At 50.5% G+C, this 20,643-nt stretch overlaps 8 annotated features.

Moving 5' to 3' along the window:
• Nucleotides 110-229: an enhancer, noted in NCBI's record as "active region_15447". NCBI's record gives its function as "activates an Ori minimal core promoter by ATAC-STARR-seq in GM12878 lymphoblastoid cells {active_cell/tissue: GM12878}" and the evidence as "EXISTENCE:reporter gene assay evidence [ECO:0000049][PMID:35858748]".
• Nucleotides 4,639-4,718: a silencer, noted in NCBI's record as "silent region_11258". NCBI's record gives its function as "represses an Ori minimal core promoter by ATAC-STARR-seq in GM12878 lymphoblastoid cells {active_cell/tissue: GM12878}" and the evidence as "EXISTENCE:reporter gene assay evidence [ECO:0000049][PMID:35858748]".
• Nucleotides 4,739-4,788: a silencer, noted in NCBI's record as "silent region_11259". NCBI's record gives its function as "represses an Ori minimal core promoter by ATAC-STARR-seq in GM12878 lymphoblastoid cells {active_cell/tissue: GM12878}" and the evidence as "EXISTENCE:reporter gene assay evidence [ECO:0000049][PMID:35858748]".
• Nucleotides 13,458-13,958: an enhancer, noted in NCBI's record as "H3K4me1 hESC enhancer chr2:25578935-25579435 (GRCh37/hg19 assembly coordinates)". NCBI's record gives its function as "activates a minimal SCP1, AML or CMV promoter by ChIP-STARR-seq in primed H9 embryonic stem cells {active_cell/tissue: H9 hESC(primed)}" and the evidence as "EXISTENCE:reporter gene assay evidence [ECO:0000049][PMID:30033119]".
• Nucleotides 15,832-16,367: an enhancer, noted in NCBI's record as "H3K4me1 hESC enhancer chr2:25581309-25581844 (GRCh37/hg19 assembly coordinates)". NCBI's record gives its function as "activates a minimal SCP1, AML or CMV promoter by ChIP-STARR-seq in naive H9 embryonic stem cells {active_cell/tissue: H9 hESC(naive)}" and the evidence as "EXISTENCE:reporter gene assay evidence [ECO:0000049][PMID:30033119]".
• Nucleotides 19,585-19,664: an enhancer, noted in NCBI's record as "active region_15448". NCBI's record gives its function as "activates an Ori minimal core promoter by ATAC-STARR-seq in GM12878 lymphoblastoid cells {active_cell/tissue: GM12878}" and the evidence as "EXISTENCE:reporter gene assay evidence [ECO:0000049][PMID:35858748]".
• Nucleotides 19,935-20,034: an enhancer, noted in NCBI's record as "active region_15449". NCBI's record gives its function as "activates an Ori minimal core promoter by ATAC-STARR-seq in GM12878 lymphoblastoid cells {active_cell/tissue: GM12878}" and the evidence as "EXISTENCE:reporter gene assay evidence [ECO:0000049][PMID:35858748]".
• Nucleotides 20,085-20,134: an enhancer, noted in NCBI's record as "active region_15450". NCBI's record gives its function as "activates an Ori minimal core promoter by ATAC-STARR-seq in GM12878 lymphoblastoid cells {active_cell/tissue: GM12878}" and the evidence as "EXISTENCE:reporter gene assay evidence [ECO:0000049][PMID:35858748]".

A 20,643-nucleotide genomic window follows, 5' to 3' on the forward strand; every position in this document is an offset into this window, starting at 1 on the left:
CTGGGGCTGGGGACAGCAGCGCTGGCCCAACCGCGCCGCAACCCCCAGCCAGGTGCCGCCGCGGAGTAGAGGCCACTCTGCTCTACAGGGCCAAGGTCGGAGCGCCAGGCTCCTCCTGGCCGTCCCGCAGGCTCCAAAGCCTCTCTGAGATGAGCTGCCTTGAAGGGAGTGAGTTCCCCGTACCTTGAGGTGTCCAAGTAGAGTTGGGTGTCCTCAGTTGGGCACTGGAAGACTGAAAGATTTCATGAGGTGGGAGGTTGAATGAAATGACATTGAAGGTCTCTTCCAGCTGGAAGATTCTGTGTGTGCCTACACACCGCCCTCACCCCTTCACCGTGGGGGCTGTTCTCCTTCCCCATGGAGCGCTCAGGGCTCTAGGTTCCTGACTTGGGGCACCTCTGTCTAATTCCACCAGCACAGCCACTCACTATGTGCTCATCTCACTCCTCCAGCAGCCGCTGTAGGACTTGGGGCTGGGCACCCCCCCACCCCCGCCTCCAGCCTCCTTGCGCGCCCCAGCACCCCACCAGCCACCCGCAGCTCTGCACCCCGAATTCTACTCAGCACTTCAGCTATATCACAGTGCCCTGAGCTCCCTGACTGGCACAGGACATGGCGTGCTCCCTTCCCAGGGACCCGCCATCCTACTTGTGGGCAGGGATTGCTGGAGTTGGTGGTGGGACTCACTTCACAGTGAAGCGGATCCTACTTTTCCCTTCTCCCCATGCAGCCCAGCACCCGCCCCCCCAACGCCACCCTTTTAGCGTCACAGAACCGAGTTGCCAAGTTCTCTGGGACCGGGAGCTGACCTTTCATACAGACGGGAAGGTTTTCCTTCGGGAGGTTCTCCAATGCTTCCAGGTCCCTCCGTCTCCCCAACCCCCACCCTGAGCCTCGATATCTGAGACCAGCTTCTAGGCCATAGTTCTGGCCGTTTTCAGTGTCACCCTCACTCAAGTGGCCACCCCGCCCTACTGATGATAGGCCCTGCTGTCCATGGTCCCCACCGGCCCAGAGACTCCCAGTGCTCTGTGAGGACAGGGGCCGCGTCTGTCATCCCTGTAGCCCAGCACTTGGTGCTAGGAGATTCTCAGTAAACCTTGGTGGAATTAACATGTGACCCTCCTGGGCTGTTCGCTTTCTACATCAGGAGGGGCATCCGTGAACACTCTAAATGGCGCACCCAGCTTGGCAAAGGAGAAGACCGTTTATAGAAGGATGACTGAGATACCTCTGCCTTCATCAAGGGCTTACATATAACACGGCCCCAAACAGCAGCGACTGTTTACTGAGTGTCTACTATGTGCCAGGCACCAGACATGGTATTTTCTCTAGTCTTCACTAGCCCTGTGATATGGCTTGTACTCTCCTCACGCTACAGATGAAGAAACTGAGGCTCAGTCTTAGTCAAAGCCATACAGTTGGGAAGTGGCAGAGTCAGGATTCAAAGCCAGGTTCATCCGGCTCTGAAATCACCCCACATCACATCTTTTTTTTTTTTCTTTTATTGAGACACAGTCTCGCTCTGTTGCCCAGACTGGAGTGCAGTGGAGTGATCATGGCTCACTGTAGCCTCGACATTCTGGGCTCAACCAATCCTCCTGCCTCAGCCTTCTGAGTATCTGGGACTATAGATGCACACCACCATGCCTGGCTAATTTATTATTATTATTTGTAGAGATAGGGGCCTCTCTATGTTGATCAGGCTGGTCTTGAACTCCTGGGCTCAGGTGATGCTCCTATCTCAGGCTCCCAAGGTGTTGGGATGACAGGCATGAGCCATCGTGCCCAGCCCACACCACACTTTTGAAACATAGTTGCTCTTAAGAAGCTGAAATTCAGTGGGTGCAGTGGCTCACGCCTGTAACCCCAGCACTTTGGGAGGCCGAGGCGGGAGGATCACTTGAGGTCAGGAGTTCAAGACCAGCCTGGCTAACATGGTGAAACCCCGTCTCTACTTAAAATACAAAATTAGCTGGGTGTCATGGCGCATGCTTGTAAACCCAGTTACTCGGGAGGCTGAGGCAGGAGAATCGCTTGAACCTGGGTGGCGGAAGTTGCAGTGAGCTGATATCGTGCTACTGCACTCCAGCCTGGGTAACACAGCAAGACTTTGTCTCAAAAAAAAAAAAAAAAAAAAAAAGCTGAAATTCTCAGGGCCATGATGAGCAAATGTAAATTTCTATTCAATAGGGCTATTTATGATGACATTATTAGGAGCCACCAAAGTCACTTAGTATGGTAAAGTATGTAACCTTGGATGTATGGGTTGCTGGGGTCAAGAGGTCCAAGGTGACTGTGTTAGGGGGTTTATGTCTGTTAAGAAACAACCGTTTGGCTACAGGGTTGGTTCCAGACCCTGACCTTAATGTCTTTGGTCCCAAGAGGAGGCATATCTGTGCTAGCTAACCCTCATCACTGCACCTCATACTGGGTTAACTCAGGTTGGTTTAGCCTCTCGGCTTCTACACCCCTCACTTGTGTCTGCCGCACTGTGGCCTCATCAGAATCCTGGCTGATCCTAGATTATCTAGGGTATGTGGCAGTATCAGGACAGGCTAGGTTGTCCTGCAGTAACAAACAACTCCAAATCTCAGTGACTCAAAACCACAAAGTTTCTATGGAAAACAGTATGGTAGTACCTCAAAAAAAATTAAACATAGAATTACCATATAACCCAGCAGTTCCACTTCCGGTGTACAGTCAAAATAATTGAAAGCAGAAATTTTTTTGTTTGTTTTTTGTTGTGTTGTTTTCTTTTGTTTTGCTTTTGAGATGGAGTTTCCCTCTTATTGTCCAGGCTAGAGTGCAGTGGCGTGATCTCGGCTCACTGCAACCTGTGCCTCCTGGGTTCAAGTGATTCTCCTGTGTCAGCCTCCCAAATAGCTGGGATTACAGGTGCCCACCACCATGCCTGGCTAATTTTTTAATTTTTAGTAGAGACGGGGTTTCACCATGGTGGCCAGGCTGGTCTTGAACTCCTGACCTCAGGTGATCCACCTGCCTCAGCCTCCCAAAGTGCTGGGATTACAGGCGTGAGCCACCATGCCCGGCCAAAAGCAGAGATTGGAGTAGATATCTGTACACCAATGTTTATAGCAGCATTATTCACAATAGCCAAAAGTGGAGGCAACCTGATGTTATCAGCTGATGAATGAATAAGCAAAATGCAGTCTATCCACACAATAGAAGATGATCCAGCCTTAAAAAGGAGGGAGTCCTGACACCTGTTAACAACATGCATGAACCTTGAGGATACTATGCTAAATGAAATGAGGCAGACACAAATGCATAAATACTGTAGGATTCCACTCATATGAGGGTCCTGGAGTAGTCAGACTCATAGAGACAGAAGTGGAATGGTGGGTGCCAGGGGCTGCGGGGAGGGGGAATGGGGACTTGGTATTTAACGGGGATAGAGTTTCAGTTTGGGAAGATGAAAAAGTTCTGGAGATGGATGGCGGTGGTGGTTGTACTTATGACACTGAACTATACACTTAAAAATGATTAGGCCGGGCGCAGTGGCTCACTCCTGTAATCCTAACACTTTGGGAGGCCAAGGCAGATGGATCACGAGGTCAGGAGATCGAGACCATCCTGGCTAACACGGTGAAACCCCGTCTCTACTAAAAATACAAAAAAAAAGCCGGGCGTGGTGGCGGGCGCCTGTAGTCCCAGCTACTTGGGAGGCTGAGGCAGGAGAATCGCCTGAACCTGGGAGGCAGAGGTTGCAGTGAGCCGAGATCATGCCACTGCACTCCAGCCTGGGCGACAGAGCGAGACTCTGTCTCAAAAAAAAAGATTAAAAGGTCCGGGTGTGATGGCTCACACCTTTAATTCCAGCACTTTGGGAGGCTGAGTCAGGTGGATCACCTGAGGTCAGGAGTTCAAGACCAGCCTGGCCAACCTGGTGAAACCCCGTCTCTACTAAAAATACAAAAATTAGCCAGGTGTGGTGGAAGGCCCCTGTAATCCTAGCTACTCAGGAGGCTGAGGCAGGAAAATCGCTTGAACCCAGGAGGCGAACATTTTAGTGAGCCGAGATCATGCCACTGCACGGCAGCCTGGGCAACAAGAGTGAAACTCCATTTCAAAAAAAAAAAAAAAAGGCCGGGCGCGGTGGCTCACACCTGTAATCCCAGCACTTTGGGAGGCCAAGGCAGGTGGATCACAAGGTCAAGAGATGGAGACCATCCTGGCCAACATGGTGAAACCCCATCTCTACTAAAAATACAAAAATTAGCTGGGCATGGAGGCAGGCGCCTGTAGTCCCAGCTACTGGGGAGGCTGAAGCAGGAGAATCACTTGAACCCAGGAGGTGGAGCTTGCAGTGAGCCGAGATTGCACCACTGCACTCCAGCCTGGGCAACAGAGTGAGACTCCGTCTCAAAAAAAAAAAGGTTAAAATGATAAATTTCATGTTATGTCTATTTTACCACAATAAAAAAAATAGAGCATAGTCCAACTGTACATTACATTTCTTCAGTAGATTACCAACGAACCGCGAAAGTTCCTTCTCTTGCCCGTGTCACATGTCTATCGCAGGTTTGCAGAGGGGTAGAGGTAGGGGGCTCTGCTCATTGAATACTCAGGGACCCTGGTCGACAGAAAAGCCACTATCTCAAGGAGAGTACCAGAGGGTGTCCCATTGACAAAAGGCACTTGTCACTATAGGCAGTCACACAGCTCCATTCACTTACAAGGACCAGGAAGTAAATGCTACCATGGGCCTCAAAGTGGGGAGAACTAGATAGAGTTAGCACCAGTGACTACCACAGGGGCCCTCCCAGCCCCCTCACAGGTCACATGCTCCTCTAACATCCTCTACCCAGGGTCTCCAGCGGAAGGCTTAGCTCCTACACTCCTGACTCAAAAGAGAAAAGTGGCAGTAGGTCTACCCTTGCCCCCAACATCCTGACAGAGACGTGTCTTCTCCATCCATGCTCTTCTCAAACCATCCCATCTGCCTTTGGCACAGTGGGTGACCTTCCATCCTCCCTCCTGACTTCCAGACCTGGCTCACCTACCAGCTGCTCAGCGACTTCCACCCCCACAGTGACTCACCACTGCAGTCATCTTAATATCCCCTCCATGTGACACCTACGAGGAGAACTATGTCCTGGACCTCATCACCGTAGGTTCTTCATCTGTAACACATGGGGATCCTTCTACCCGCCTTCCAGGTAGGGCTGTCACATTAGTCAAGATTCTCTCTGTTACAGTAACAGAATGCCAGCCTGAATTAGTCTGAACAGAGGGATTCTGTTGTTTAGAATTGAGACAATTGTGAAGCCCAGAGTTGGGGATTTAGGACTAGGAAAACCTAGTTCAAATGCCAGCTCCAGAGTGCACTCTCTCCCTGCTCTCTCTCTTTCTTCCCCTGTTTCCATCGCTCACGACTGCTTCCCACTATTTTGGCATCTTTCCCTCCTACTTTAAACAAACTCCACACAGCCTTGGAAGATGGTGACCAGCAGCCTCAGGCTCACATGCTTCCAGCTTAGAATCCCAGTGGAAGAATATCATTTTCTTTTCCTTCAAGAAAGGAAGGAGGACTTCAGGAAATCCCCTAATGCCTCCACAACATAAAGCTCTGGGTCTTTTAACAACCCCTCACTCCCAACCCTGATCCTCAGACACACAATTGCCCTGGTTTTTGTTTCTGTTTTTGTTTTTCTTCAATGTCACCCTCTCTCAAGGGGCCATCCCTAGCAGAAAAGTTCCAGGGACTACTTCAGTTGTTCTGGCGTTGGTCACAAGTCCAACCTGAACCAGGTTCTGTGGCCAGTGGGATAGCACAGATTACATGCCCACTCCTGTAAGTGGGTTCAAGAGGTGGCACTGGGATGAACAGATCCTGCCAGCACCCTGTGAAGCAGGGCAAAGCTGTTCACCAAAGCAAGGGTGCTGGGCAAACACACCACACGCCACCCAATGGCCACGCAGCATCCTTGCGTACCTTTCCCCACCATGGATGCCCTTTCTTTTTCTCTTTTTCTTTTTTCTTTTTTTTTTTTTTGAGACGGAGTCTCACTCTGTCGCCAGGCCAGAGTGCAGTGGCATGATCTCGGCTCACTGCAACCTCCGCCTCCCAAGTTCAGGCGATTCTCCTGCCTCAGCCTCCTGAGTAGCTGGGATTACAGGCGCCCGCAGCCACAACCAGCTAATTTTTGTATTTTTAGTAGAGACGGGGTTTCACCATGTTGGCCAGGCTGTTCTCGATCTTTTGACCTTGTGATCTGCCCGCCTCGGCTTCCCAAAGTGCTGGGATTACAGGCGTGAGCCCCGGCACCCTGCCCATGGGTGAACTTTCAAAAGTGCTCCTGCACTTGACAGAGCTGGTGACTGACTGCACAGCACTGTGAATGCACTAAATGCCGTGGAATTGTACAATTTAAAGTGGTTAATTTAATATTATATGAATTTCATCTCAATAGAAAATATATTGTTAAAAATGCTCCTGCTCATGTAAAGAACCCACCCCATCCACAACTAAAAATGCATTTACTCTCTTTTTGCGAAAAAGATAATCCAAGTCGTGGCCAGCTCTAAGACCAAGATCTCTGAGTAATGTGCATGCCTCTCCATGGGGTCTCAGTGTGGCTTCTTCTTATCCTGTACCCTGTGGTTAAATTGTAAACTCAACCACCCCAAAGCACCATACATACAGTGGTGGAGAGAAAATAGATGATCCACAATGAAGACTGGCTTTAGAAGAAGCTAGAAGGGAAAGATATGCAGGGGCTACCCGTCCGTGGCCTACATGACACCCAGCCAGGGCTCACATCTTGGCAGTGGAGCCAGGTCCTGGCCTGACTCCCTGGGAGAATTTCCCTGGTTCATTGTGGTCCGTGGCTGCTCCTGAGGGCTGAGGGGAAGAAGTCGTTTTTGAGGAGGACAAGCTTCCTCTTGGCCTGATCATGTTTTCCTGGGGATTCCTTCAGAGGTTGGGCAATCCCTAGGTTTGGGGAATGCAATGTCACTTCCTTACAACCTCAGGCAGCTGCCAGCCAGCTCACTTCCTGGGAATGCTGTGGACAAGCAGCCAGCCCCCCAAAGACCCAAAGCTGCTGAGTAGATCATTGCGCATGCGCCCCGTAGACATTGCGAACATCAAATCAAGTGGATACTAAAGTGCTTTGTAAACCCATAAAATGCCGTTATCCTCATTCACTGAGAAAATCCTAGATACGAGTTCACTCTGTATGGTTTTATATGTGCCCGTTCACCGTATTTTATTCAACTATGTTTACTCTCTTATCGGATTTCTCACAGCAACTTCTACTAATGTCCCCCAACTTCTAGATGCTAACTTAACCCCTTCCCCCAGGAGACACCTCAGAAATATATACATTCACTTGTTCTGTCACCTGAGAGCACCTAGACACAATAAAACCTCAATAGCCATAAATAAAACTAGTGTCCAGAACTTGGTTTCTAAATACCAGTCTTTACTGGAAGGCACTGGACCTGCCTGGAGAAATAGCAGATTCCAGAATTGGGTCGAGCAAGGGACAAGCAGACTTGTCCCTTGTCCCAAAAGGGGCTGCCACTGGTGGAATATGGGACAATTTGAGCACCAAAATAAATAATGATATTCAGATAGTTTGGCTATTTTTCCCCTCCCAATCTCATGTTGAGATCTGATCCCCAGTGTTGGAGGCAGGGCCTAGTGGGAGGTGCTTGGGTCATGGGGACAGATCCCTCATGAACAGCTTGATGCCCCCCTCAAGGTAATGAGTGAGTTCCTACTCTGTTACTTCGCTTGAGAGCTGATTATTAAAGAGAGCCTGGCACTTCCTCGTCTCTGTCTTCCTTCCTGTCTCATCATGTGACATGCCTGCTTTTCTTCCCCTTCCGCCACGAGTGGAAGTTTCCTGAGGGCCTCACCAGAAACAGATGCCAGTGCCATTCTTCTTCTTCTTTCTTCTTCCTTCTTCTTCTTCTTCCTTCTTCTTCTTTTTTTTAATGGAGTCTCTCTGTGTTGCCCAGGCTGGAGTGCAGTGGTGCGATCTCAGCTCACTGCAACCTCAACCTCCTGGGTTCAAGCGATTCTCCCACCTCAGCCTCCTGAGTAGCTGGGATTATAGGCATGTGTCATTATGCCTGGCTAATTTTTGTATTTTTAGTGGAGACGGGGTTTCACCATGTTGGCCAGGCTGGTCTTGAACTCCTGACCTCCGGTGATCCACCCACCTCGGCCTCCCAAAGTGCTGGGATTACAGGCATGAGCCACCGTGCCTAGCCACATGCTTCTTGTACAGCCTGCAGAACCGTGAGCAAAATCAGCTTCTTTTCTTTATAAATTACTCAGTCTCAGGTATTCCTTTCTAGCAATGCAAATGGACTAAGACAGATATTAATAGATTATAACCCATAGTCCACACTGACAGAAATAACTAGATAATAAACAGCAAGTTTAGTGAGGAATGGGATGTTTACATGGTCTCAAAGTACTTCCCCACAAAATACTTATTAATTACAAAGCGACAAAGAGTAACTTTACAATGGAAAAGGCTGGAACACATCACTTTAATCAAGTGATTGAAAGAAAAGTTAATGTTGTCAGTAATTGGGCAAATCCAAATGGTGCACCACCTACCAAGATGCAGTCAGAAGGACACGGCATCATTTCTGTGATGTTCCTGCCAAAGGTGCATGCCTGAATCTGACCTTGAGGAGACACCAGACGAACCCAAAATGAGAGCTGTTTTACAAATTAACTGGCTTGCATTTTTTGAAAGTGTCAAGATCATGAAAGTCAAAGAAAGGTTGAGAAACCGTTACGTATTGATGGAAACTAAAGACATAGGAAAACTAAATGTGCAATTCTGAACTGGATTTTATTTGCTATAAAGGACATTATTGGAACAACCGGAGAAAACTGAATGGGGTCTGAGGATTAGATAGTAGTAATGTATCAATGTTGCTTTCCTGATTTTGATGTCTCTATCCTGTGGTTATGAAAACCAACATCCTGAGGCTGGGCGCGGTGGCTCATGCCTGTAATCCCAGCACTTTGGGAGGCCGAGACGGGTGGATCACCTGAGGTCAGGAGTTCGAGACCAGCCTGGCCACCATGGTGAAACCCCATCTCTACTAAAAATATAAAAATTAGCTGTGCATGGTGGCGCATTTCTGTAATCCCAGGTACTCTGGAGGCTGAGGCAGGAGAATCACTTGAACCTGGTAGGCGGATGTTGCAGTGAGCCAAGATCACACCACTACACTCCAGTCTGGGCAACAGAGTGAGACCCTGTCTCAAAAACAAAATCAAAAACAACAACAACAAAAAGAAAAACAACATCCTTATCTGTTAGAAATATATACTAAAATCTGGGCACAGTGGCTCACGCCTGTAATCCCAGCACTTTGGGGGGCCAAGGCAGGTGGATCACAAGGTCAGGAGATCGAGACCATCCTGGTCAACATGGTGAAACCCCTCTCTATTAAAATACAAAAAATTATTCAGGCATGGTGGCAGGCACCTGTAGTCTCAGCTACTCAGGAGGCTGAGGCAGGGGAATCGCTTGATCCCGGGAGGCAGAGGTTGCAGTGATCCAAGATCGCACCACTGCACTCCAGCCTGGCGACAGAGTGAGACTCCGTCTCAAAAAAACAAACAAAAAAAGAAAAAAAAAAGAAATATATACTAAAGTTGTCGGGGAGGGGGCAACAGGGTATCCTGTTGGCAATTTATTCACAAATGGTTCCCCCTCAAAATAAGTACTTTGTACCATATTGGCAAATTTTCTGTAAGTTTGAGATTGTTTCAAAATTAAAAATTACCCCCAGGAAGATAGCATTTTGCCTTCCCACCAGAAATATATGTGAGAGAGCCTTGTTCATTGAGTTCGTTGTCAAACTCTTGGATTTTTGCCCATGTAATAGGTGAGCATTGGGTTCTCGCTGTATGTTTTCTTTCGCATTTCTCTGATTATGAGGGGATTGAGCATCTTTCCATGTGTCTAAGGACCATTAGCATGTTGACTGTTAATCTATCAGGCTGTGGTCTTTCTCTTCTTGATTTTTATGACCTCTTTATACATTTTATGACCTCTTTATACATATACACCCCTAACTCTGTACTCTCCCTTCATCTCTCTAAGTTCTCCCCCATTTCTGCTGCTTCTCCAGAGGGAAGAGGGAAGGAGCTGCCATCTATGGAACCCAATCTCACTTCATCTGCACCGAGCATGGTCTCAGGGAGCATAGCGAGACATCTCACCATCCACCCAGCTTTCCGTGGGGTGCATTAGTTTCAAGATGAAAGATTAGAAACCTGTGGTCATGTACTTTCGGATACAAACGTTTTAGTGAGTATAAAGCAGTGGTGGTTTTTTTTTTTCATTCATATTCTTTTATTAGGTAATGTACCCCCTAATTTATAAGTTGAGTTCCATATAACTCAATAAAGGGGGTGTCATTTTTAAAGTTAAACATTTTCTGGAGATAATTTTAGATTTTCATGCAGTTGTGAGAAACACTAAAGAGAGATCCCATGTACCCTTACTCAGTTTCCCCTGATGATACCATCTCACAGTGAAGTGGGCTGTCACAACCAAGATACTGACAGTGACGTGAACGTTTCCATTACCACTGGATTCCTCATGCCACCCTCCAGCTGGCCACCCCTTAACCCTGAACAATGACTAATCTATTCTCTTTTTCTATAATTTTATCATTTCAATAGTGTTATAGAAATGAACTCATTCGGCCAGGCACAGTGGCTCATGCCTGTAATCCCAGCACTCTGGGAGGCTGAGGTGGGTGGATCATGAGGTCAGGAGATCAAGACCATCCTGGCTAACACGGTGAAACCCCGTCTCTACTAAAAATACAAAAAAAAAAATTAGCCAGGTGTGGTGGCGGGTGCCTGTAGTCCCAGCTACTTGGGAGGCTGAGGCAGGAGAATGGCGTGAACCCGGTAGGCAGAGCTTGCAGTGAGCCGAGATCAAGCCACTGCACTCCAGCCTGGGCAACAGAGTGAGACTCTGTCTCAAAAAAAAAAAAAAAAAAATAAAGAACTCATTCAAGGCCGGGCACAGTGCCTCATGCCTGGAATCCCTGTACTTTAGGAGACTGAGGTGGGTGGATCATTTGAGGTGAGGAGTTTGAGACCAGCCTGGCCAACATGGTGAAGCCCCATCTCTACTAAAAACTAAAAACATTAGCTAGGTGTGGCGTCAGGCGCCTGTAAACCCAGCTACTCAGGAGGCTGAGGCAGGAGAATCGCTTGAACCTGGGAGGCAGAGGTTGCAGTGAGCCAAGATCGTGCCATTGCACTCTAGCCTAGGAAACAGAGCGAGACTCCATCTCAAAAAAAAAAAAAAAAAAAAAAAAAAGAAAGAAAGAAACGAACTCATTCAGCATATAGCCTTTTGGAACTGGCTCTTTTCACCAAGCATAACCCTCTGGAGATTCATCTAGATTGTTGCATGTGTCTCTAGTTCACCCCTCTGTATTGCTGGGTAACAGTTCATGGTATGGTTATGCCAGCATGTAAACACTCACCTGTTGAAGGACATCCGCAGGATTTCTAGTTTCCAACTACAGCTTAGAAAACTGAGGCCAGAGAGTGAAGCAACTGCACAGGCATAATACGGCACAGCTGGCATTTCAGCTCCAGTCCATTTGCCAGAGTCACACGGGATGACAGGTGAGAAACAGACCAGGCAGCTTCAATGGGATAGATGGAGACTTGACGTCATTGATAATCTGATGCCTTGAAAGTCGTGTGTAAGAAGCTGACTCTGAATTGGAGGGAGGCCAGGAGATTTGCACCCAGCTCTGGCAATGGGTTTGGGGAAGCTATAAACCACCTTTCAAAGGGAACACCTGGTCGGGTGCAGTGGCTCATGCCTGTAATCCCAGTACTTTGGGAGGCCAAGGTGGGTGGATCACCTGAAGTCAGGAGTTCGACACCAGCCTGGCCAACATGGTGAAACCCCGTCTCTACTAAAAATACAAAAAAAAAAAAAAAAAAATTAGCCGGGCATGGTGGCGGGTGCCTGTAGTCCCAGCTACTCGGGAGGCTGAGACAGGAGAATCACTTGAACCTGGGAGGCGGAGGTTGCAGTGAGCCAAGATTGCGCCACTGCACTCCAGCCTGGGTGACAGAGCAAGACTTTATCTCCAAACAAACAAAAAACCACAAAGGGAACATCTATTGCTGACTGAAAACAGATGAGGAGGGACGTAGCAACTGATTTGCATTGTTCTAGGAGCATCCAGATCAAACGTATATTCAGGGGCCAGAGGAGAAGTGTAACTGAATTTAGAGGAGCGGATGGAGTGGAGAATAACTCGAGGAACAGCGCCATCGGTGTGACACTACTCACACTGCAGCCATGAAGGGATGGGCTCTCCGGGGAGTGTGGAGACCAGAGGTTCGGGGGTAGGCTACAACCTGGGGCTGGAAGAGATGACAACAAAGGAGAGAGAAGGGGGCTCAGGGAGGCAGGGCGAGCCAGATGAATGAATGAAGGCCAAAGACAAAGGGACTCAGTATTTCCGAGGCAAGAGGTCAGGGAGGAAGGAGTGCATTTGTTATCTACAGCGCATAACAAGTTAGCCCATATCTTAGCGGCTGAAACAACACGTATTGTCTCTCTGTTTCCATGGGTCAGGAATCTGTGAGTGGCTTGCTGGGGTCCTCAGGCTCAGGCTCTCTCACAGACTGCAATCAAGGTGTCCGGCTGCTGTCATCTCAAGGTTTGATGGGGAAGGATCCACTTCCAGCCTCACTCACATGGTTGTTGTTGACAGAATCTAGTTCCTCACAGGTTGGTGGACTGAGGGCTTCAATTCAATGCTGGCTATTGGCCAGAGGCTGCCCTCAGCTCCTTGCCACGTGGGCCTCTCCACAGGACGCTCCCAAGATGGCAGCTGGCCTCACCAGAGAGGAAGGAGGAGAGAGCGAGAGAGTGTGTGGCAAGCGAAGAGACGAACTTTCATAACCAAATCTTGGAGGCATTTGCGCTGTTCTCTCCGTTAATAGCCAGTCACTAGAACCAGCCCACACTGAAGTGGAGGGGATTACAAGGATCCAGATACCAGGAAGCCATTTTAGAAGCTGCCCACCACAGGAGCAAAGGCAAGGGGGCTGGACCCGACCTAAGACTACCCCAGGCAGCCCAGAGCAGACTGTCCGAGAGTGTGAGGACAGAATCCCAGCCCGAATCCCAGCTGTCCCAGCACCACAGGGAGACATGGACACACTCAGGGCCTCCTGCCGGTTCCCAGAAGAGCCTGGCTCAGTCATTTGCCTGGGTTCACTCCCACCACCCCCAGCAGTGCCGGGAATAAAACAATAATACACAGCAGCAAAATGCCCCTCCAGCAGCCCATGTACACAGCCTGGCTCACCTTCCCCATCTTACCAGCCGGCACTGCCATCGGGACACGGAAACCTCTTCAGGACGTGGGAGGAGGGGAAGCAATTCCATAGACATTTCTGGGCCCTTCTCAGCTGCCCCCACCAGCAGCCAGCAGCCCCCTGGATCCATCTGGGGAAGGAGACTCCCCTTTCCCTGAGGGCCTCCCCCTCTGAGCCTGGCCAGCACCCTGGGCCTGTTCTCCTGTCCCCCTGCAGCTGCAGGGCCATAGGTCCCCTTGTGGGAGGGACAGAAGGACAGAGAGGCACCAGGAAGGTGGGCACCAGGGCCTTCCCACCAGGAGCCGACACTCCCCAGGGAACATTTCCGGGGCATGCTCAGGAGGCAGGAAGTGGGATGCAGGGGAAATCCTCAAAGGCTGAGGCTGCGGCTGGACAGAGACTTGAGGGAGGAACAGAGGAGGATGGCAGGTACAAATCTCAACCCACGGCAGGTAAAAGACATGCACCTTTTTAGAAGTCCCCTGATGTCAGTTTTTAGAAGTCCCCTGATATTTGTCTCTGCCCAAATCTCATGTCGAACTGTAATCCTTTGCATGGGAGGTGCTTGGATCACTGGGCTGGATTTCTTGTGAATGGTTTAACGCCATCCCCTTGGTGCCGTCCATGTGTTAGTAAGTTCTTATGAGATTTGGTCATTTAAAAGTGACACATAGCATCTCTCACAAAGTGTGGGAGCACACTCTCACTCTCTTGTTCCTGCTTTTGCTACCTGCCTGCTCTTCCTTTGCCTTCCATCATGATTGGAAACTTCCTGAGGCCTCCCTGGAAGCCAAGCAGATGCCATCATCATGCTTCCTATAAAGCCTGCAGAACTATGAGCCCATCAAAACTCTTTTCTTTAGAAATCACCCAGTCTCAAGTTTTTTTGTGTGTTTTTTTGTTTGTTTGTTTTTGAGACGGAGTTTCACTCCGTCACCCAGGCTGGAGTGCAATGGCGCGATCTCGGCTCACTGCAACCTCTGCCTCCTGGCTTCAAGCAATCCTCCTGCCTCAGCCTCCTGACTAGCTGGGATTACAGGTGTCTGCCATCATGCCTGGCTGATTTTTGTATTTTTAGTAGAGACGGGGTTTCACCATGTTGACCAGGCTGGTCTCGAACTCCTGACCTCAAGTGATCTGCCTGCCTCGGCTTCCCAAAGTGCTGGGATTACAGGCATGAGCCACCATGCCTGGCCAAGTATTTCTTTCTTTCTTTTTTTTTTTTTTTTTTTATGACAGAGTCTTGCTCTGTTGCCCAGGCCAGAGTGCAGTGGCGTGACCTCTGCTCACTGCAAGCTCTACCCCTCAGGTTCATGCCATTCTCCTGCCTCAGCCTCCTGAGTAGCTGGAACTACAGGCGCCTGCCACCATGCCTGGCTAATTTTTCTGTATTTTTAGTAGAGACGGGGTTTCACAGGGTTCGCCAGGATGGTCTCTATCTCCTGACCTGGTGATCTGCCCGCCTTGGCCTCCCAAAGCGCTGGGATTACAGGCGTGAGCCACTGCACCCGGCCCTGGCCAAGTATTTCTTTATAGCAATGTCAGAACAACCTAATATATACCCTTTGGGACGAGGGGCATATGATAGACAGAATAGTGGCACCTGAAAGATGTCCATGTCCAAATTGCTGGAACTTGTGAATTTGTCAGGCCACATGGCAAGGGGAATTAAGGTTGCAGATGGAATTAAGGTTGCTAATAGCTGACCTAGAGTTGGGGGGATTATTCTGGATTATCAGGGTGTGTCCAATGTCATCACAAGCATCCTTAGAAGCGGGAGAGGGAGGGCCGGGTGCAGTGGCTCATGCCTGTAATCCCAGCACTTTGGAGGCCGAGGCAGGTGGATCACATGAGGTCAGGAGTTTGAGACCAGCTTGGTCAACAGGGCGAAACCCCGTCTCTACTAAAAATACAAACATTAGCCAGGTATGATGGCACATGCCTGTAATCCCAGCTACTCGGGAGGCTGAGGCATGAGAATCACTTGAACCAGGGAGGTGGAGGTTGCAGTGAGCTGAGATCACACCACTGCACTCCAGCCTGGGCAACAGAGCAAGGCTCCATCTCAGAAAAAAAAAGAAAAAAAAAAGTGGGAGAGGGAGATGGAAGAGTCAGTGTCAGGGCAATGCAACATGAGAAGGCCTCAACGCATTATGTCTGGCTTTGAAGATGGAGGAGGGAGCCACAAGCCAAGGAATGTGGGTGCTTCTAGAAGCTGGCAAAGGCAAGGACATTGGTCCTCCCCTGGAGCTTTCAGAGAAGGCCACAGCCCCTTTTTCCTGTTCTTCCCCCTCTGTTCCAAGCTGGGGCCTGAGCCGGGCAGCTGGGCTAAGAGCTGGAAGACCTGGATTCCAACCCTGGCTCTGCCTCTAATTTGCTCTTGGACCCTGAGACGTCGTGTTTCTTCACTTGACCTTAGTTTTCTGACACATGGGCTTGTAACAGGCTCCTGCCTGTCTCCTGGGGTGGCTAGGCCCAGGCCACATGTAGGGATGCTCAAAAGCAGGGCAATAGTCCTGAGGCCCATGCCAGGGCCCTGGCCCCTGGCTCCAGGTCTAACGCCCATTTGCATTTTCATTCCTTTTCTAACCCAACAAAGGATCAGGGCTGGGATCATAAAAGTGACTCCCAGAGAGTAAACCTCCTCTCAGACAAAGGACGGCATGGAGGGCAGAGGTGTTAAGTCAGTTCCCTAAGTCCACTCAGCCAGCTGGGGCCAAGCACTAAACTTCCAGGCTTCCAGTGAGGGCATTTTCCCCACCCCAGAGGGTGTCCTTCAGGGGAACATCTGTCCCAGAGTGGCACTGGGTAAAGGGCAGGGGCTTCGCATTGGGAGCTGTGGATTCTCGTGCCAGCTTGCCCACTCGCCAGATGTTGTGCTCTTGTTGATCATGCCTGGCTTGCGGGGTTGTTGGGAGAATTAAATGAGAGGGTGCTGAGTGCCTGGTACTGAGCCCACACATAGCGAGTACTCCACAGCCTTAGCTGACATGAACTGCCTGCCTTCCCTGCTTCTCTCCATTCCTCATTTCACAGAAGACAGGGGAAATTCCCCTTTCAGACAGAGCTCTCATGAGATCCTAGTCACAAACCCGGAGGCAGACAGGCCAGCCCTTGTTTTTTTGTTTTTTTGTTTTTTTTTTTTAGATGGAGTCTCGTGCTGTTGCCCAGGCTGGAGTGCAATAGTGCAATCTCGGCTCACTAAAACCTCCGCCTCCTGGGTTCAAGCGATTCTCATGCCTCAGCCTCCCGAGTAGCTGGGATTACAGGCACGCTCCATCATGCCTGGCTGATCTTTTGTATTTTTAGTAGAGATGGGGTTTCATCATGTTGATAAGGCTGGTCTGGAACTCCTGACCTCAAGATCTGCCGGCCTCGGCCTCCCAAAGTGCTGGGATTACAGGTGTGAGCAACTGCACCTGGCCCCAGCCCTTGTTTTGTCCATTTTAAGGATGAGGCTGCTGAGGTCCCGAGGGGGCTCTGAGCAAGCCAGCGGCAGAGCCAGGGCCAGACCAGGACTCTCACCTCACCCTCTGTCCACACAGAATTTCCCAGGGGGCCCGGGGCTCTCTTGTGCTAGAGACTGGCTGAGGCCGAGGGCTTGTCACCCAGCCCACCTGCTGCCAGGCTGGGTACTGGCTCACAGCTCTGTCCCTGAGCAGATCTAACCCAGCCCTCCCCTTGCTGTCCCCTCCCTCTCACTGCGTCCCAAGCACCCGGCCTCCAGGGTCATTTGGAAAACCTGCCTGTCCCCAGACATCTTGAAATCTCTTGAGTGGAGACCTTTCCTTGCCACACTTAATGAATTTCAGGAGCTGAATGTGGGCCCCTGGGAGGTTGGGGGCTGTGAACAGTGGGGAGAGGAGTAGACAGGGACAAAGAAGTTCAGGACAGGAAGGTGCAAGAACCTGGGCTGCGGGGGCTGATTTTCCTGAGCAGAACTGGGCTAGCATGTTCGTGGGGACAAGGGAACAATGGGGGAGATGGAGGCCGGGTGTTTTGCTAAGCCAGGGCAGGAAAGCCTGACCTTCTGCACTTCTCAGGGGCCCAGCAGTGCCCTCCACACAGACCCTGGAGATATGGGCTTGGGGCTCTTGCCCAGAGAGTGGCAGGGAGGGCCCATCTTAGGTCCTAAGGTGTCTGCTGGTTCTGCCAGGTCTAACTCAGGTGCCCAAGAAGCAAGTCCTCTGAGGGCCCCAAGACCACCCATAGTGGCCCTAGAAAAGGTGGCTCCCCCATCCCCCTTGAGCCTTAAACTTGGCAGATTTCCTGGATTCCATGACTGACACAGACCTTCCTTTCCCAGCAGCCAGCCCTGAGCAGGGCCCATGGACTCGCCCTGTCCCTTCCCCTCCTTGACCAGGCAAACCATCTTGAAGTTGCTAGAGCAAGATTCTTCCTTATCCACTGGGAGAGGCCAGGGTCTGTCCTTCTCTCAGGCCACCCCCACCCCCAGCCCCCCCTTCTCTTCTCAGGTGATTTTGGTGGCATACCTCTTCCTTTCTGTCCTAAGCCCATCAACCCCCCTCCCACTTTTTTTTTTTTTTTTTTTTTTTTTGGCCACAGAAAAGAAAGAAAAAGGAAAACAGCCTAAAGGCATATTCTCCTTTGTGTAAAATTAATATATGCTATTCAAGGGCATGTAAATGTAATTTTAAAGTCAGCTTTCTTGGGCCTTTGTTAGGAGGCCGCTGTCGTGGTCAGAAATCTACATAGCATATGGCATATAGTAGGTGGTCAATAAAAAAAAACTCATCCTGCCCTCCTCTCTCCCCGCCACCTTTCCTTTCTCAAGGGTCCCGAGGGCACCTGGGCTTCCCAAAGCAGAGAGGCCTGTTGGGGGCAGATGCCCACCTGCCCTCCCGCCACCCGTGCCTGTCTGGGCTTCTCCTCCCAGAACAAACCTCTCCTGCAGGGGAGGGCAGGTGGCACCTGAGGGACTGTCCTGAGGGCTACTGAGGGACTCAAGGAAAAAACCCACCTTGAGTCAAGCAAGTCTTCCATGTCTCAGAGGGGATCCTTCCCAGGCCTCCTTTTTTTTTTTTTTTTTGAGATGGAGTCTCAGAGTCTTGCTGTGTCACCCAGGCTGGAGTACAGTGGCGTGATCTCAGCTTACTGTAACCTCCGCCTCCCGGGTTCAAGCGATTCTCCTGCCTCAGCCTCCCGAGTAGCTGGGATTACAGACTGCACCATCATACCCAGCTAATTTTTTTTTTTTTTTGAGACAGAGTCCCACTCTGTCGCCTAGGCTGGAGTGCAGTGGCATGATCTTGGCTTACTGCAACCTCCGCCTCCCGGGTTCAAGCGATTCTCTTGCCTCAGCCTGCCAAGTAGCTGGGACTACGGGCACGTGCCACCACACCCGGGTGATTTTTGTATTTTTAGTAGAGACGGGGGTCTCACCATGTTGGCCAGGCTGGCCTCAAACTCCTTATCTCAGGTGATCCGCCTGCCTTGGCCTCCAACTCTGTGCTGGAGCTACAGATATGAGCCACCGCGTCCGGCCAGGCCGCCTTTTAAATTAGGATCAAGGAGCATGGCCTGAAAAAATGATTGTTTTAGTGCCCCGACCCCACGAGGGAGTGCGGGACTGAGACCCCCATCAGGCCACTGAGCAGGGGAGCCAGGACAGCTTGGCGGTCACACCCCGGAGGTCTGGGTGCAGCGCGGGAAGGCTGGGTCCCTTCTAGGATCTCTGGGCCACTAGTCCAGCTGTGGGGACAGTGTCCGAAGCCCCTGCCCCACTGACTGGGGATCCGGAAAAAGGGTGCCACCTCCCCACCCCAGGCATCTACTTTGCTTAATGGAGGCTGAGCCCAAAGAGATGCCATTGAGCACCTAACACCACTATTGCCACTTTTCTGGCCACTTTTCCACATCAAACTCATTCTTTTGGTCAAGTGGGAATAGAAATCAGGGAAAGTTGTGGGGAAAGTCATTTCAAGTAAACAGATTCAAAAGCGCTCGACAGCCCCTCGGCGGCTCCGCTCCGAATAACCCCACCGCGGTCAGCAGGTTTCGGAGCGGAGTCCGGGTCTCCATCGGCTGCAAAAACCAGCGAAGTGGGCGGCTCCGCCAGGCCGAGGACCCAGTGCAGTCGCCGCATTTCGCTCTTCACCCTCCAGGTGGCGCTAGCGGGGGCGGAGCGCATATTTGTATTTGGGGAGGAGCTTCAGAAATGCTGACTGTTGATTGGCTGGGCTCAGTCTCGCTTTCTTTTCTCCTTCCCGGCAGGGCTAGGGAGGGGACCCAGTCCCGGTGCCTGAGCTGCGCAAGAGGAAACGTGTGTGTGGGAATGGGACAGAGGGGACGGGGTTGGCTCACTTGACACAGAAAGAACATTTGGGGCATGGCCCCTGGGTGTGTTCACTCCTCAAGGACAATCCTGATTTCCTGGTTTTTGTTTTTTTAATAAAGGCAATTTGTTAAGTGTATAATGAACTGTGTTTTCCATTTGTCATTCCTTTATAAGACACCTCATAAATTTACACACCAGGAAAATCCTTGGTGGGACCTGTTGATAATAAAGACATCGTTATTTACAAAAGAACGAAGGTGAGGACCTTCTAGACCTCCCTTTTTCATTTTCTTGGTCTCTGAATGTTGTGTTTGTGTTACCAATATAACGATCTGTGGCTGTATTTTATTTGCACATCTAACAACTGATTGTTAAGCTTCCGCTATCTGGCAGGCATTGGGTGGGGTTTCTCTGAGTCAAGAGTGAGGAAAAAAAGAGGGGGAGCTCGTGGACAGGTAGGACAGGCGGCAGCCAGGATCCAGGCTGTGCACGGGGAACATTGAAGAACGCTGCCACGGCCCCGAAGAAGAAGTGGAGCCACGGGGAGAGGAACGGGGAATTTAGAGGAAGTGGGGCCCGAGGGCAGCGGAGCAGAGCCGCTAGCTCAAAAAGCGCAGTGCTGAAGTCACACTGATGTCACTGCAGAAGCCCAGAGGAGCTAAGGAGAGGTGAGATGTTGGGGGATTCCCTAGGGCAGCTGGAGTGGGCCCCTGGCCTTTTGTCCGGTTGGTGGGGAGGAAAGCATTGGAAAGTATAACTTCCAGAATATTTCCTTCTTGCTCAGGACAGAAAGCCATCTCTGGGGCCAGGCGCGGTGGCTCACGACTGTAATTTTAGCACTTTGGGAGGCTGAGGCGGGTGGATCACGAGGTCAGGAGTTCAAGACCAGCCTGGCCAACATGCTGAAACCCCGTCTCTACTCAAAATATAAAAATTAGCCGGGCATGGTGGCAGGCGCCTGTAATCC

This window comes from Homo sapiens, chromosome 2, assembly GCF_000001405.40.
Source record: "Homo sapiens chromosome 2, GRCh38.p14 Primary Assembly".
In the NCBI taxonomy this organism is placed as follows: domain Eukaryota; kingdom Metazoa; phylum Chordata; class Mammalia; order Primates; family Hominidae; genus Homo; species Homo sapiens.